The sequence below is a fragment of the Homo sapiens genome, chromosome 10 (assembly GCF_000001405.40).
Source record: "Homo sapiens chromosome 10, GRCh38.p14 Primary Assembly".
Taxonomy (NCBI): domain Eukaryota; kingdom Metazoa; phylum Chordata; class Mammalia; order Primates; family Hominidae; genus Homo; species Homo sapiens.
The window spans coordinates 7,624,554-7,640,752 of record NC_000010.11 but is presented as its reverse complement, the minus strand read 5'-3'; the positions used below and the strand labels follow the sequence as shown (position 1 = coordinate 7,640,752).

Genomic DNA, 16,199 nt, shown 5'->3' with positions numbered 1-16,199 from the left:
TAAGTATTGGTTAATTAAGGAATTAAAAACCCATTTTAGCAAAGTGCCACATTTTCTATGCCTTTGCCTACTCCTCTTGTCGTCTTCCTTTCCTCCAAATACTTTTCTCTTTCTTTTTTATCAAAATATAAATACATCTAGTGAATAATATAGTAGATAAGTGTTTGTAATAAAAAGGAGAATTTTACCATATTTATCTCTCATGCTCACTTCCCACACATATCCTCTTCTAATATTTCTATATGTAGTTTGCAGTTTTCCTTTTTTTTTTTTTTTTGGAATGAGGTCTCACTCTTTGCCCAGGCTGGAGTGCAGTGGTGCAATCATAGCTCACTGCAGCCTCAACCTCCTGGGCTCAAGTGATCCTTCCACCTCAGCCTCCCAAGTAGCTGGGATTACAGGTGTGCACCACCACACCCAGCTAATTTTTATTTTTATTTTTTTTGTAGAGATCGGGTCTTGCTACATTGCCCAGGCTAATCTCAAACTTCGGGGCTCAAGCAGTCCTCGCACTTCAGCCTCTCAAAGTACTGGGATTACAGGATTACAGGTGTGAGCCACTATGCCTGGCCTGTACGTAGTTTTTTTTTTTTTTTTTTTTTTTGTAGTTACCCCCTAACTCTAAATATTGTGATAGTCATACTTCAAAAAATTTTTTTTGATAAAAATAAGACATTATCTGTTGACTCTTTGCTATAAAGAAAGGGTATTTAGCAAATTAACAATACTCCTACTTTTACTCTGCATTCACATTTTTATATTATTCTTTTATTTCTTCTTCCATCAATCCAACAGTGTTTAGACTATCTTGGACTATCCCTACTATCTTAAATGATTATATTCCCTCTCCTAACCTCCACTGTCTCTCTCCTTTCTCATTTCATGATGTTACCTAATCATTGTTTGAGTTATTAGCATCTTAATTCTGACTTGTAATACTTTTATTCTTTCTTTTGTTTATAAATGGAATCTAAACATTGAAACCAATACATAGCAATTGCTTTTTAATGCCTATAGAAATAACATGAACTGCATGCAGAGCCACCTAGTACACTAAGATTATTTTTTCCTCTTCACCAGCCCAATGTGTAGGCCTTCATCCCCTTGGCAGAAAAATGATCTTTGTATCTAGATAAAATGGTGTGAACCTGGTAACCCGGTTTTCCTCATGAATAAAAAGACATCATTTTGAGAAATTTAGTTCTCTAAAATTATAGACTGCCAGAAACTTTGCTGTTGGAAATTTTATTAGTGACAAGGGAATGCCTCACTCTTGTCTGGAGGACATGAGCCATGGGTTCACTTTGATACAGAAAAGCAACCAAGGTCCAGAGCTTCAGATAAGGGATTTTCAAAGGCACAAAATTCCACGTTTATCTTAATGTCGTAGTTTCTAAAGACATAGAGAATCTTTAGTCTGCTTGTCAGTCCAGGCGGAAATGATGGTTTTACACACAGCCTTTGCTTTGAGCCTGTCTGAACACTGCTCTATTTAAATTTAACCTATACTCCATCCTTCCCCTAATTCTATAAAAACCCTGTCTCTTTCTTTGTTTGATGAGTTGCCTCATCGTGCCTCTGGTATGTGGTCTCCCTTGCTGTGGCAAGTTATTAAAACCTAACTCTGTTAGACTATAGATTTATCCCAAGTGGTCTTTATCACAATTGTTCAGAGTCACACTACAGATTAGTTTAGTTGAATCATGACATATGTTTCTGTTTTTCCTGGAGTTTCTAACTGCTTTTCTTTTTTCTTATGATATAAAATGATATAACATCTAGCGAGACACATAACCATTATTTAAAATATGTTATGATTTAACATAACAAAATGAACAGCTATGAACAAGTTTCTGCAAGCAGTGACATCCTTATCACTCCTGATATCTGGCCAACAGCAGCTGAAAGACATCACTGATTGGGAGACATTCTGATTTCAGAGCTTTTAAAACATGGATGTCTTTATATCCATGAAATACTTTCATTGCTTTTCAGCCTTGATGCAAAACTTTTACCCTGGTATCTCTTTTCGTATTCTTCTGGGTTGGCTTTTTTATTTCGTGTATTCCACATTTTCCTCTTTCTTGGCTTTCACCTTTATTTTGCAGAAGTTATATTCTGAAGTAACTTTCTCAGAATGGGTGCATGAGAAGTAAACTTTCTGAGACCTTGATTAATATTTTGGCTGTGTATGACTTTAAGGTCAAAATACTTTTCCTTTTGAACTTTGAGGCATTGCTCCAATGTCTTATAACATCCAGTAGTATTGATGATACATCTAATGGGACCAGATAACATCACTTTTACGTTTTCTCTGTGTGATGTTCTGAAGTTTTACAATGGCGGGTTTCGGTGTCAGTCTCTTTTCATTCATTCTGCTCAGTGCTTGAATTTTTCCATTTCAATACTTATGTCTCTTTCCAGTTCTGGGAAGGAGGAGTATAGAAAGCCTATCAGCTTAGTCATTCATTCACATTGGACTTGGAATTATCCTGTCTATACTGGGTCTCCCTTTTCCCTTCCATCTTGTGGTGTCCTGAATTCAGAGCCTGCACTCTCTCTGATTCTGCCACACAGTTGGGTTCTCTCCTTTGCTGCAGCCCTTTGCTGCATGTTCTGAGCTATAAAATTCTTGCTCTACTGAACACCCCAAGCCTTCTGGAAACTTCTTGAAATGTCTTACCTACTAACGGTTGCCACTCCCACTTATTCCTCTAGTGATCAGTCTGCCATTTTGAATAAGAGAACCCTCACTCCAAGTACTGAAAGCATCTGGAGTGTATTTTTGTCAGCTTTGGAGTCCTTTATTCCCTACCTTTCCTGCTAAACATATCCACCAAACTTTACCAAGATGTGAAAACCTAGTATGTTAGCTATTTTAAAGTTATGTAAAATGCCAAGATTCATTGGCCATCCTTGTAAAGGGAGAGCACAATTCACAGCTTCACTCCAAAGCTCTCTCTTCTAGCAGTTCACCTACTCAACGTCCTTTCCCATTGCTCCCTTGGGTCTGTCTCAGGGAGAGGTAGGACAGTATTCTTAGAATCCTCTCCTGGTCGGTATTCTTTGACCCTTCGTGACCTACCTCTAGCACGGGGTTTCACTTCTTCTAATACGAATTTTTATTTTTCCTTTCTCAGGACCCACACTCACACCCATGGGTCTCCCTGGCAGGCTGGTTGAGAGGGTATGGCTGGTGCCCTGTGGGGACTGAGGGAACCTGGCTCTATCCTCTTCCGAACCTCCCTGGGGTCCTTTTCCTTTTTCCTGACAGAGAGAAGGGGACTGAAATATTCAGAGCTTCTGCAGTGATTCCCAGCAAGGACAAAGCCGCCTTTTTCCTGAGTTATGAGGAGCTTCTGCAGAGGCGCCTGGGCAAGTACGAGCACAGCATCAGCGTGCGGCCCCAGCAGCTGTCCGGGAGGCTGAGCGTGGACGTGAATATCCTGGAGAGCGCGGGCATCGCATCCCTGGAGGTGCTGCCGCTTCACAACAGCAGGCAGAGGGGCAGTGGGCGCGGGGAAGGTGAGTCCTGCGTGCTGGGTTCGTGCAGATCTGTGGTGAAAACACCCAGCTGGTCCTTGGCTTCGGAGAAATCTGCAAGAGATGGCACCCTTCCCTTCAGCAAAGCCTTTGCATTTTTGTAGGAACTGGAATGATAGCAATGAAGCTAAGACAGCAACTGGTACTTTTTTTCTTTTTTTTTGAGACGAAGTCCTCTGTCGCCAGGCTAGAGTGCAGTGGCGAGATCTCCGCTCACTGCAACCTCCGCCTCCCGTGTTCAAGCGATTCTGCTGCCTCAGCCTCCTGAGTAGCTGGGATTACAGGCATGTGCCACCACACCCGGCTAATTTTGTATTTTTAGTCGAGACGGGGTTTCACCATGTTGGTCAGGCTGGTCTCAAACTCCTGACCTCGTGATCCACCCGCCTCGGCCTCCCAAAGTGCTGGGATTACAGGTGTGAGCCAGCGCACCCGGCCCATTTTTTTTTTATTAAAAATAAAATACAGCCCATGCTGTAACAGGAGATTAAAAATGTATGAGTTATTGATGCAATAATACCACTTCTGGAAATCTATCCTAGGTAGAACATCTAACATATTGGGAATGTCATATGCACAAGCTCGTTTGATAATATTTGTGGTAGCAAAGACATTCCATCAGCCTAAAGATTCAATTATATGGAAGAGATTAGTAAATTACGATTATAAAACAATTCAGCATGTGGCAGAGAAGAAAAGGCAAATTGTATATGTACTATAATGTTAAATATGAAGCTGATAAAATACTAGAAAGTTATAGAAAATAATCATTTTGTATCAGGGGTATGAGATTGTGGGGCCATTTTCTAAAAATCTGTTTTTTAACATTCAGCAATATGTTATATTCTTTCTAAATTTAAATAATGAAAAATGCTTAGTATAGATGTAAGATACAGGCATCTTGATTCATTAGCAGAATTATTCTGATTTTTAAATTTTCTCAAATTCTGATTTTTAAAATAGCTCTTCATTTATTGAAATGAAAAACTACAGTATAATCTAGTTTTAATCACCGTATTTTTTTTCTTTTTTTGGGAGGGGGCTTTCTGGTTTTCACAAAGTCTAAAAGAGTGACTTTAGTTACTATATGAATTTCAGCTAATAGTATATATTAAATATTGACTTGTGTTGGGCTGTATACTTAATATACCAGTAAGGCTGGTCAGTGTTGAATTGGATGAGACAGGAATGTTCAAAAATTGCACCAGGACTGGAATTTTAAGATTTCAGAGAATTGTGACATTGAGAGTGGAGAAATGGTAAATGATGAGCAGAGTATGTGCAGAATCTGTATTCAGTGCCTGCGGCTGCACAATCATAGAATGACCCAGGAAGTCTTCTTGGACCAGGGTATTTAGGGATAAGATCGGCAGGAGAAGAGAGAGAGCGTTGCCTGGACAAGCGGAATCAGAGAATGTTGGTATTTAACATAATGCAAAAATAACCAAGGCCTAGAGCTGGTGGTCTATGGAGGGGCAAACAGTGCGGAAAATACACTTTCTCCCCCAGCATGCAGTTGAGTTAATGACTATGTGAGAGGCCATTCACTCTCACAGACTGAGCGTTTCCTGGCTCTGCGAGAGACCCAGGTCCTTTGTTATGTGTTGGACTCAAGTCCTTTGTTATGTGTTGACTCCAAACAATGAGCTTGACATTCTTAATCCAGATCTAGCTGGTATCTAGAAAAAGCAAAAATATTGTCAAGGTACCTGGCATTTAGAAATGGCATGAGATCCAATACACCATTCTTAGGTCATGCAGGTGGTAGCTGTATGGTTAATGGATTTTAGTTCAGTTGTTAATTGTAACCTTGTAAAAAATGCAAGGCTGTAAGACTTGGCTTGCACATCTGGGAAACAGGGGTAATAACTAGCTCATGGGTCATTGTGAAGTGCTCATGTATGTAAAGGGTTGGCCGCAGAATGAGAGCTTAAAAATTATTACTAGTTTTCACATTATATTGACTTTTTTCTGTTGCAAAACTTACCTCTGTAATAAGATCATTGGTGCCTTCGAAAGCAGGTCTGTTTCTGATTAACCTGTGTCTCCTTAGCACTTAACATAATGCCTGTTAAACAGTAGGTAGCTAATTGAGTGTCTTCGAACTACAGAAGAAAAGCAGGCCAGGGATGGTGGCTCACACCTGTAATCCCAGCACTTTGGGAGGCCAAGGTGGGAAGATCAGGAGTTTGAGACCAGCCTGGACAACATAGTAAGAACTTGTCTCTATGAAAAAAATAGATAAATAAATAAAAAGAAAAGCAAACACAAATAACTAAGAATGTTTTAAAATTTCATTTCTCTCTAACAGTACCTCGGAAGAAAATTTTCTCATGTGCAACTGTGGGAAAGAAGTATTTTCTCAGGGGGCAGAGTTGTCAGGATCTCGTAAGGAGGGTAGAGTATCTGTGAAGTGTGTCTGGGATGAGAACACATTCAGTAGCTGTGTCAGCAGAAGGTTCAGAGGGGAGTCCTGTTGCAGTAATGAAATGTGTTTTGCCTAATTTTCAGAATCATAATGACTCTTCAGAGATGTGTACGTGTTGTGGGGTGTGTATGTGTTTTGTTTGGAGGGAGTATGAATTATGACTGTTAGCTAAAAAAAGTTGCTTACTGTTTATATTCGGGGCCTGTTAGTGTCTCAGAGGAATTTTTCCAAACGGTTGATCTCTTGGGATCTGTTTGTTTTTAAGGAAATTGTTTTCTTAGCTCCTTGTACCAAAGCAGATACTTTGCCGTCCAGAACATGAAGCTTTTACAAGCATGTCCCAGAGCCAGGTGCAGTGGACGGATTCCCTTTTTGCTGCTCCCCACTCCCGTCTTTCAGAGCTCAGCGGTTATTGTTCCTGCAAAATGGCAGCCTTAGCAGCTTGAAGCACAGGATGTTGTGATTTTGTCTGGACAGGGCTGTGTTTTTCCAGAAGAAATCCAGGCTAAAGATCAAACTGGAATTGGGCTTGCACCAAAACTATGATTGTGTGAATGAGGTCCAAGCCAATACATTCCGCTGATAGATCTGGCTGTGTTAAGAAATCTAACTTCTGGAATTTGTCTAAGTAAATCTCTCACCATGGACCCGTTTTCTTTCTCTTTTCTTTCCTTTTTTTTTTTTTTTTTTTTTGAGACGGAGTCTTGCTCTGTCGCCCAGGCTGGAGTGCAGTGGCGCGATCTCGGCTCACTGCAAGCTCCGCCTTCCGGATTCAAGCCATTCTCCTGCCTCAGCCTCCCGAGCAGCTGGGATTACAGGCGCCCACCACCACGCCTGGCTAATTTTTTGTGTTTTTAGTAGAGACGAGGTTTCACTGTGTTAGCCAGGATGGTCTCGATCTCCTGACCTCGTGATCCGCCCGCCTCGGCCTCCCAAAGTGCTGGGATTACAGGCGTGAGCCACCGCGCCCGGCCACCACGGACCCATTTTCATCTTTAAAGATGCAATTCTAGATGAGGATTACTACTGTGTGCTAGATACTAGACTAAGCACTTGCAGAGTGTATTATCTCATGCAATTTTTATAACAACCCTCTTAGCTTTTTTTTTTCAATCCCCATTTTAATTATGAAGAAGCTGAGAAACCTTACTTACTAAAACAGAGGTTCAGTAATATGGACAAGGTCTCATATTTAATTATGGATAGAAATAGAATTTAAACATAGGTCTATTTTATTCCAAGTTATACCCTTAACCACTGCACTATCTACCTCCTCATTAAATAGACTGTACATTACTGTGGGTGGAGTTCAAATTCCAACTCTCTTCCTAAATATAAAAATAAAAAGAAAGGCTAAGAGCAATACAATCCACCTTTGCCTCAGTTTACTTTATGATATATCAGGATTGAACCCACATCTGTTGAATTGTAAATTAATGGGATCTTTCCCAGTGTAAAAGGCAATCCTGTGAGACGTATTTTGGAAGATGAAACATTATAATTTCTGTTTATTAAAATAGTTAACACAGGTACGTGGTTGAAAATCTCAAGCATTACAAATTGGTATACGGTGAAATACAAGACTCCCTGTCTCTACTGTCTCTCCGTTCTCCACTTCCGCAGTTCTTATCCTCTACAATATTCTCATGCTTTAAGAGCTCAGTGGAACAGAGTATTTGAAATGAACGCTTTCCTGAAACATGCCTGGGATGTGTGATTTCTGAAGGTATATTCTCATTGGTATTCCGAGACAGATATTCCCACTGTGTGATTGTTTTAAGGCTGGTTACTCTACTGTCTTTGCTAAACTCATAAACTTCCAACTGTCTCACTTATGGCCTAAATTACTACCCCTGCCATGATTCCAATACTTTTTTTGGCAGAAAATTTTCATTTATGACAAGATCCCCAATGACTAGGGGTAAAATAAAATGAGAAACATCAAGTGAGAAAAAGAATACCTTACTTACTTTATTATCCTTGTGATTTTACATCAATGACTCTCAATCCTGACTATACTCTCTAGTAACCTAGAAGGGTTTAGAAAGAATTCCAGACAACGTACTCTAGACAAGTCCTACCCTAGCCTAGACAAGTGAATTTGAATGTATTAGGGTGGGGCTACGGAGCTGTACTTTTGGGTGTGATATTCTATACATGTATATTAAAAACTTAAAAATCTATGAGTGATTAAAAAATTTTTAGTTATTTGTAAAGTTAAGAATAATGCTGATTATTTTTTTCTGCCACTTGACAGGTGTGGTTGTATGATTTTCATAGTTTATCCCTTCTATTCCTTGCTTTTTAAAAAAGTTTTAGGGAAGTTTAATTTACACACTGTAGCATTTACTTATTTGAAGTGTATAATTTAATGATTTTTAGTACATTGGCAGAGTTGTACAACCATCATCAGGGTCCAATTTTAGAACGCTGCTACCACCTCAGAAGGATCCCTGTACCCATTTGCAGTCACATCCTGTTGCTACCCCAGCCCCAGGCAACCGCTGATCCACTCTTCATCCCTGTAGACTTCAAACAGCTATATTTTTAAAAGCACTGCAGCTAATTCAGATGCTCAGTAAAGGTTGAGATCTATTCCCTTGGATTTTCCAGCAGACCTTAGGAATATTAACTATATCAAAATCTTGACCTACAGAAGCAGATTTTAAATTAAACAAGATTGGGCCAGGTGCAGTGGTTCATGCCTGTAATCCCAGTATTTTGGAAGGGCAAGGTCGGTGGATCACTTGAGGTCAGGAGTTCAAGACCAGCCTGGCCAACATGGTGAAACCCCATTTCTACTAAAAAAAAAAAAAAAAATACAAAAATTAGCTAGGCGTGGTGGCCCATGCCTGTAATCCCAGGTACTTGGGAGGCTGAGGCAGGAGAATTGCTTGAACCCGGGAGGCGGAGGCTGCAGCGAGCTGAGATTTTGCCATTGCACTCCAGCCTGGGTGACAGAGTCAGATTTGGTTTAAAAAAAAAAAAAAAATTAAACAAAGTTGTTTCTCAATTTCATGGGGCCCTTCAGATTACTCTGACTTTAGATCCTTGTTAAAATGTATTTTGTTCCTCTTTTCCACCGACAAGTTTTCACTCTCAGATACAGGCCAGTGTAGAATTATGTGGTTGGTGGAAACAACCTCTTCCCATCTCCTGCTTCTGCTCTTCCACATGGAGACCAGAGATGGAGAAATCCCAATAGCCAAGCTCAGTGGGCCGGTGCAGTCTTCGTAATACAGTCTTAAGCTCGTTAAATTAGGTATCTCATCTTCTTTTGGAGAAAAGCATGATTGTTCAGGACATTTGGTGTCAAAAAAGAGCTTCTTAAAGGTACTTGAGTCCCTCTCTGGCTTCTTGGACTTGTGGGACTTGCCCTTCCCACAGTCCTCCTGCTCCAACCCCAACTCCACGTTGAGAGAAGAGGCTCCAAGTCTGGCTTAGCGTCAGCCTTCATCCCTGTGGTTTGACGGCTCCATTGCCAACCTCAGTGGTTCCCAAACTTTGCCGCCCGTTAGAATCCACGGGAGCTTTTATAAATCTATTGCTTAAGCCTCACCCATGCCAATGAAATCAAATAGCTGCCGATGGAAACTAAGTGTCAGTATTTTTTATTAAGAAGATCCCCTTGTGATTGCAACGGACAATAAAGTTTGGGGTCTAGACTGTGATGTCCTGTTTTCTAGCAATATTCCGCTGTAGTTCCCGCCACTTTGTTTTCTAAACTCTTTTTTTTTTTTCCTGGGCTGCTTGACCCCATTTCCAAGCTGCCACCTGGGGTTCCTGGGTAACCTCAATTCCTCATCTCTATCAAAACTGAAGGACTTACAAGACCTTGCGCTAACCTAACATTAAAAGGAAATCTTAACTCTAGGAATGGGGAGACCTTTGTAACTGTTTTCATGTTCTCCTGCCATCTGGTTCATCACCGAGAAGTGTTTGGCCGTTAAGAACACGAAAGAAAGAGATAGAGTATCAGGTTATGCTCTTAAAAAAATACATTCTAAAAAGACAACCTACAGAATAGGAGAAAATATTTGCAAATCATATATTTGATAGGAGTCTAGTGTCCAGAATATACAAAGAATCCTTACAACTCAACCACAAAAGGATAAACAACCCAATTAAAATACGAGCAAAGGACTTGAACAGACGTCCTTCCAAAGAAGACATATGAATGGCCAAAAAGCATCAGAAAAGGTGCTCAACACAATTAGTCATTAGGAAAATGCAAACCAAAACCACTTCTCACACCCTAGGATGGCTATAATGGAACAAACAAAGGAAAGTTACAAGCCTTGGGGAAGATGTGGAAAAATTAGGACCCTCGTACATTGCTGGTAGGAATGTAAAATGAAGCAGGAAAATATTTGAAGATTCCTTAAAAAGTTAAAACGAGCAAGTTAAGAGATCTAGCAAGACCCAAGATCTGGCAAAATTTACCAATGTAAGTCAAGAAAATGCTGAAAACCTAATATCACTGTCATAACCAACAGTTATTTCTCCCTCAGTTCCTTCAACAAACACTTACAGAGCACCTATGCTAGGTATATAGTAAATTGTACACTTAAAATGAGTAAATCTTATGGTGTGTAAATTAAACTTCCATAAAACTTTTTTTAAAAAGCAAGGACTAGAAAGAGTAAACCATGAAAGTCATACGACTACACCTGTTGAGTGGCAGAAAAAATAGTCAGCATTATTCTTAACTTTACAAATAACTAAAATTTTTAAATTACTTATAGACGTTTAAGTTTTTAATATACATGTATAGAATATCACACCCAAAAGTACAGCTCCGTAGCCCCCCCAATACATTCAAATTCACTTGTCTAGGGTAGGACTTGTCTAGAGTGGGTTGTCTGGAATTCTTTCTAAACCCTTCTAGGTTACTAGAGAGTATAGTCAGGATTGAGAGTCATTGATGTAAAGATGGAGCACATCCTCTGGGTATATATTCAAAATAACTGAAAGCAGGTACTTAAATACTTGTTCAGAAATGTCTACAGTAGCAGTATTCACAGTAGCCCCAAAGTGGAAACAACAAAAATGCTCCTGAACAGGTGAATGGAAAAACAAAATGTGGTATATGCGTACAATGGAATATTATCCAGGCATGAAAAGGAATGAAACACAGATACATGCCACAACACAGACACACGCTGCAACATGGATACACGCTACAACATGGACACATGCGAAAACACAGATACATATGATAACATGGATGCATGCCACAACACGGACACACGCTGCAACACGGACACACGCTGCAACATGGACACACGCTACAACATGGACACATGCGAAAACACAGATACATATGATAACATGGATGCATGCCACAACACGGACACACGCTACAACATGGACACACTCTACAACATGGACACACGCTACAACATGGACACACGCTACAACAGGGACACACGCTACAACATGGGCACACGCTACAACATGGGCACACGCTACAACATGGACACACGCTACAACAGGGACACACGCTACAACATGGACACACGCTACAACATGGACACACGCTACAACATGGGCACACGCTACAACAGGGACACACGCTACAACAGGGACACATGTGAAAACACAGATACATATGATAACATGGATGCATGCCACAACACGGACACATGCTACAACACGGACACACTCTACAACATGGACACACACTACAACATGGATACACGCTACAACATGGGCACACGCTACAACATGGACACACGCTACAACAGGGACACATGTGAAAACACAGATACATATGATAACATGGATGCATGCCACAACACGGACACATGCTACAACACGGACACACGCTACAACATGGACACATGTGAAAACACAGATACATATGATAACATGGATGCATGCCACAACACGGACACACGCTACAACACGGACACACGCTACAACAGGGACACACGCTACAACAGGGACACACGCTACAACATGGACACATGCAAAAACACAGATACATATGATAACATGGACACACGCTACAACATGGACACACGCTGCAACATGGACACACGCTGCAACATGGACACACGCTACAACATGGACACACGCTGCAACATGGACACACGCTACAACATGGACACATGTGACAACCCAGACAACATGGACACATGGTACAACATGGACACATCCCATAACATGGATGCATGTGATAACACAGATACATGCTACAGCATGGACACATGTCACAACACGAATACATGGTATCACATGGACACATGCCACAATGCACATACATGCTACAACATGGATACACACTATAACACAGACACATGCCGCAGCACGGATACAGGCCACAACACGGACACATGCTACAGTGTGACGGAGTCTCGAAAACATTATGCTAAGTGAAAGAAGCCAGACTGAAAAGGTCACATGTGTATGATTCCATTTAGCTGAAATGTCCAGAACACACAAATCCGTAGAGACAGAAAGCAGATTGGTAGTTGCCTGGGGCTGGGAGGAGGGAGAAATGGAAAGTGGCTGCTGGATGGTTACAGAGTTTCCTTGGGGTGATGAAGATGTTTTGGAACTTAATAGAGGTAGTGTTTGCACAACATTGTGGATGTACTAAATGCTATTTGTTTGTATACCTAAAAATGGTTAATTTTGGCTGGGCATGGTGGCTCAGGTCTGTAATCCCAGCACTTTAGAAGGCCAAGGTGGGTGGATAACTTGAGGCCAGGAGTTTGAGACTGGCCTGGCCAACATGGCGAAACCCCATCTCTACTAAAATACAAAAACGAGCTGGGCTTGGTGGCAGGCGCCTGTAATCCCAGCTACTTGGGAGGCTGAGGCAGGAGAATCGCTTGAATGTGGGAGGCGGAGGTTGCATTGAGCTGAGATTGCACCACTGCACTCCAGCCTGGGAGACAGAGCAGCAAGACTCTGTCTCAAAAAAAAAAAAAAAAAAAAAAAAAAAAAGGTTAATTTCATGTTCTGTGAGATTCACCTTGACTTTTGTTAAAAATGAAAAAATTACATTCTAGGTGGTTAGAATCTCCCTTCCTCCACATGCCCTGGAAGCCAGTTTGCTGTGTTCTCTGGCTGTTCTCTGTGGGTGCTTCACATGTGTGGGAAGGCAAATAAAAGGACTGGGTACTAACCAATTTATGGCTTGCTTTTTAATCATATCACTCCTGTGTAAGTGTCCAATAAAATGCCAATCTTCAAATAATCCTAAGAACTGAGGAAGCGTCATTGGAAAGAAGAGAACCACTGAAAATACAGCTTTATGACCTTTTATTTGGAAGACCTGGTGGCTGACACTGCAGCTGTCTTTGAGGACAGGCTACTGACCAGCCACACATCCCGCAAGGTCAAGTCCCCTCGACCAGAGACTAGCACAGTGTCCTGCATTTCAGTTGATGCCCAAGAAGGGCTTGAATTGAACCTGTTTAATTTTTTTTTTTTTTTTTTTTACTTTATCTTCTTATTTTCTTTTTTTTCTTTTACTTTAAGTTCTGGGATCCATGTGCAGAACGTGCAGGTTTGTTACATAGGTATACATGTGCCATGGTGGTTTGCTGCACCCATCAACCCGTCATCTAGGTTTTAAGCCCCGCATGTATTAGCTTTTGTCCTAATGCTTTCCCTCCCCTTGCCCACCACCCCGTTTTTGAAATTATTCTGATGTTTTTCTTTGCTCTGTGAGCATCATGATCTGCCTTTGCTGTGAAGACTTCGGTTGTCTTCGTAGACACTTGGTGTGGCACCTGGCATAGAATGGGTGCTCAGCAGGTGTTTGTTGAAGGAACTGAGGGGAAATAATTGTTGGTTATGACAGTGCTATCAGGTTTTCAGCACTTTCTTGGCTTACGTTGGTAAATTTTGCCAGATCTTGGGTCTAGCACTTATGTTGTTATGAAGCAGGGATTAAGAGACAAAAGTAATAACTAACTTTGGTTCCAGAAAATTCTGGTTACAGAAAATCTGGATAAATCCCCCTTAGCTAGGGTTGCCAGATGAGATATAAGATGCCCAGTTTCATTTGAATTCAGAGAAACGATATGTCCTGTGCAATATTTAGGACATGCTTGCACTAGGAAATTATTCATTGTTTATCCGAAATTCAAACGTAACCAGGCATTCTGTATTGTAATTTGCTAAATCGGGCAACTCTGCCTATTAAAGGGCTGCACTGTGACTGGCTGTGAAACCCCCAGCTCCAGGGTCCCGGTCTGGGTCCGGTCTCTGCTCTGCGGCTGGAAGGGCAGGACCCTGTTTGGCCTCTGCGAAATCTCTGTACCTTTGCCAGGAAACAATCTGGTTGTTATGTGAAGGTTTCCAGCATTGTTCACACAGAAATTATTCAGGTATGAATCATTTGGCCCCATAGTTGGTTGTGTTTTGATTTTTAATCCAATATGAAAATCCATGTTATCTTGTTTGTTTTGACGTTGGCTGTGGCTCGGTCAACCCAAGAGCGTGGCACGGTCAACCCAAGAGTGTGGCACAGAGGCTTTGGCTTTTCTCTGTAGCCCAATACCGGTGAGACACCTCCTCTTTACTGTGAGGCTTCACTCTTTTTCTTCCTTTTTCCTGCTGCCTTGGCTTGCTGTGGGAGGTGGATGTTGTCAGCATGTATGACCTGGGCCATCGCAGCTGTGGCTGAACCAGAGGTGGGCCGGGGGATGTGATGCAGATCACCAAGAGCATCTGCCACACCCCCTGAACACTTTCGGGAAGAGAAACATCAGTTCCCTTGAAGGGCTGCTCTGTCCATCTGCCCAGCTATGCACTAATGCATTTCATCATTTTCATCCTCAGTGTTCCGCAAGCTGGACGTGAACTCTCACATGTTTCTGGCGCTGTGCAAGGTTCCTGGAATCTACAGACGTCTAAGATGTTGTCACTGCCTTTGCAGAACTTAGAGCTGGCAATTAAAAACCTTGTAAAAATTGTGATAAAAAGCACACAATGTAAAATTTACCATCTTAGCCATTTCTTTTTCTTTTTCTTTCTTTCTTTCTTTCTTTTTTTTTTTTGAGACAGAATATCACTCTGTTACCCAGGCAAGAGTGCAGTGGTGCAGTCTTGGCTCATGGCAATCTCTGCCTCCTGGGTTCAAGCAATTCTCCTGCCTCAGCCTCCCCAGTAGCTGGGGTTACAAGCTCACGCCACCAGGCCCGGCTAATTTTTGTGTTTTTAATAGAGACAGGTTTTCACCATGTTGGCCAGGCCGATCTCGAACTCCTGACATCAAGTGATCTACCTGCCTTGGCCTCCCAAAGTGCTGGGATTACAGGTGTGATCCACATGCCCGGCCCATCTGAGTCACTTCTAAGTGTTTGGCAGTGTTAAGTCTATTCACATTGGTGTATTACCAATCTCCTGAACTTTTCCATCTCCCAAACTGAAACTTTGTACCCATTAAACACTGACTCCTCATCTCTCCTTCCCCCTGGTCCCAGATAACCACTGTTCTCCTTTCTGTCTCATCTATGAACTGGACAACTTTGCATACCTCATGTAAGTAGACTTATACAGTATCTGTTCTTTTGTGTCTGGCTTATTTCACCTGACATAATGTCCTCAAAGTTTATCCATGTTGTACCACATGTCAACATTTCTCTTCTTTTGAAGGCTGAATTATATTGCACTGTGTGTCTGCACCAAGTGCCACTCTGCTTTTCTCGGTTATTAGCCCCTGCTCTGCCTGCGTGCCAGAGAACCCTGCAAAGGCATTTGACAGAAGTCTCTCAATCTCATATTCCTTGGCTGCTCTACCATTGTTTCTGGTGGGCTTCCATTTGGTTGAATTCAAATGCTTGGGGCAGCTAGTATTTGAGGTCTCCAATGGACACGTGATGGCAGAAAGGGATAATGCATATATATATATATATATGTATGTATATATATACACATATATATACATACATATATACATATATACACATATATATGTGTATATACATGTATATACACATATATATGTGTATATATATATATATTTTTTTTTTTTTTTAGGCAGAGTCTCACTCTATCGCCCAGGTTGGAGTGCAGTGACACAATCTTGGCTCACTGCAACCTCTGCCTCCCAGGTTCAAGCAATTCTTCTGCCTCAGCCTCCTTAGTAGCTCATTTTTGTATTTTTAGTAGAGACAGGGTTTCACCATGTTAGCTAGGCTGGTCTGGAACTCCTGGCCCCAGGTGATCTGCCCCCCTTGGCCTCCCAAAGTGCTGGGATTATAGGCAT

General features: G+C 41.5%; 1 protein-coding gene across 4 annotated transcripts in view, besides 1 other annotated feature; it reads left to right on the top strand.

The window, feature by feature from the left end:
- ITIH5 (inter-alpha-trypsin inhibitor heavy chain 5) overlaps positions 1-16,199 on the top strand; it is a 107,697-nt gene that overhangs the window by 26,214 nt on the left and 65,284 nt on the right. For all 4 annotated transcript variants that reach the window (NM_030569.7, XM_011519713.4, NM_001001851.3 and 1 more), the window contains exon 5: positions 3,275-3,525. In NM_030569.7, coding sequence (NP_085046.5) covers positions 3,275-3,525 — 251 coding nt within the window. The remainder of the gene's footprint in view (positions 1-3,274; positions 3,526-16,199) is intronic.
- Positions 4,347-5,186: an enhancer, noted in NCBI's record as "OCT4-NANOG-H3K27ac hESC enhancer chr10:7677530-7678369 (GRCh37/hg19 assembly coordinates)". NCBI's record gives its function as "activates a minimal SCP1, AML or CMV promoter by ChIP-STARR-seq in naive H9 embryonic stem cells {active_cell/tissue: H9 hESC(naive)}" and the evidence as "EXISTENCE:reporter gene assay evidence [ECO:0000049][PMID:30033119]".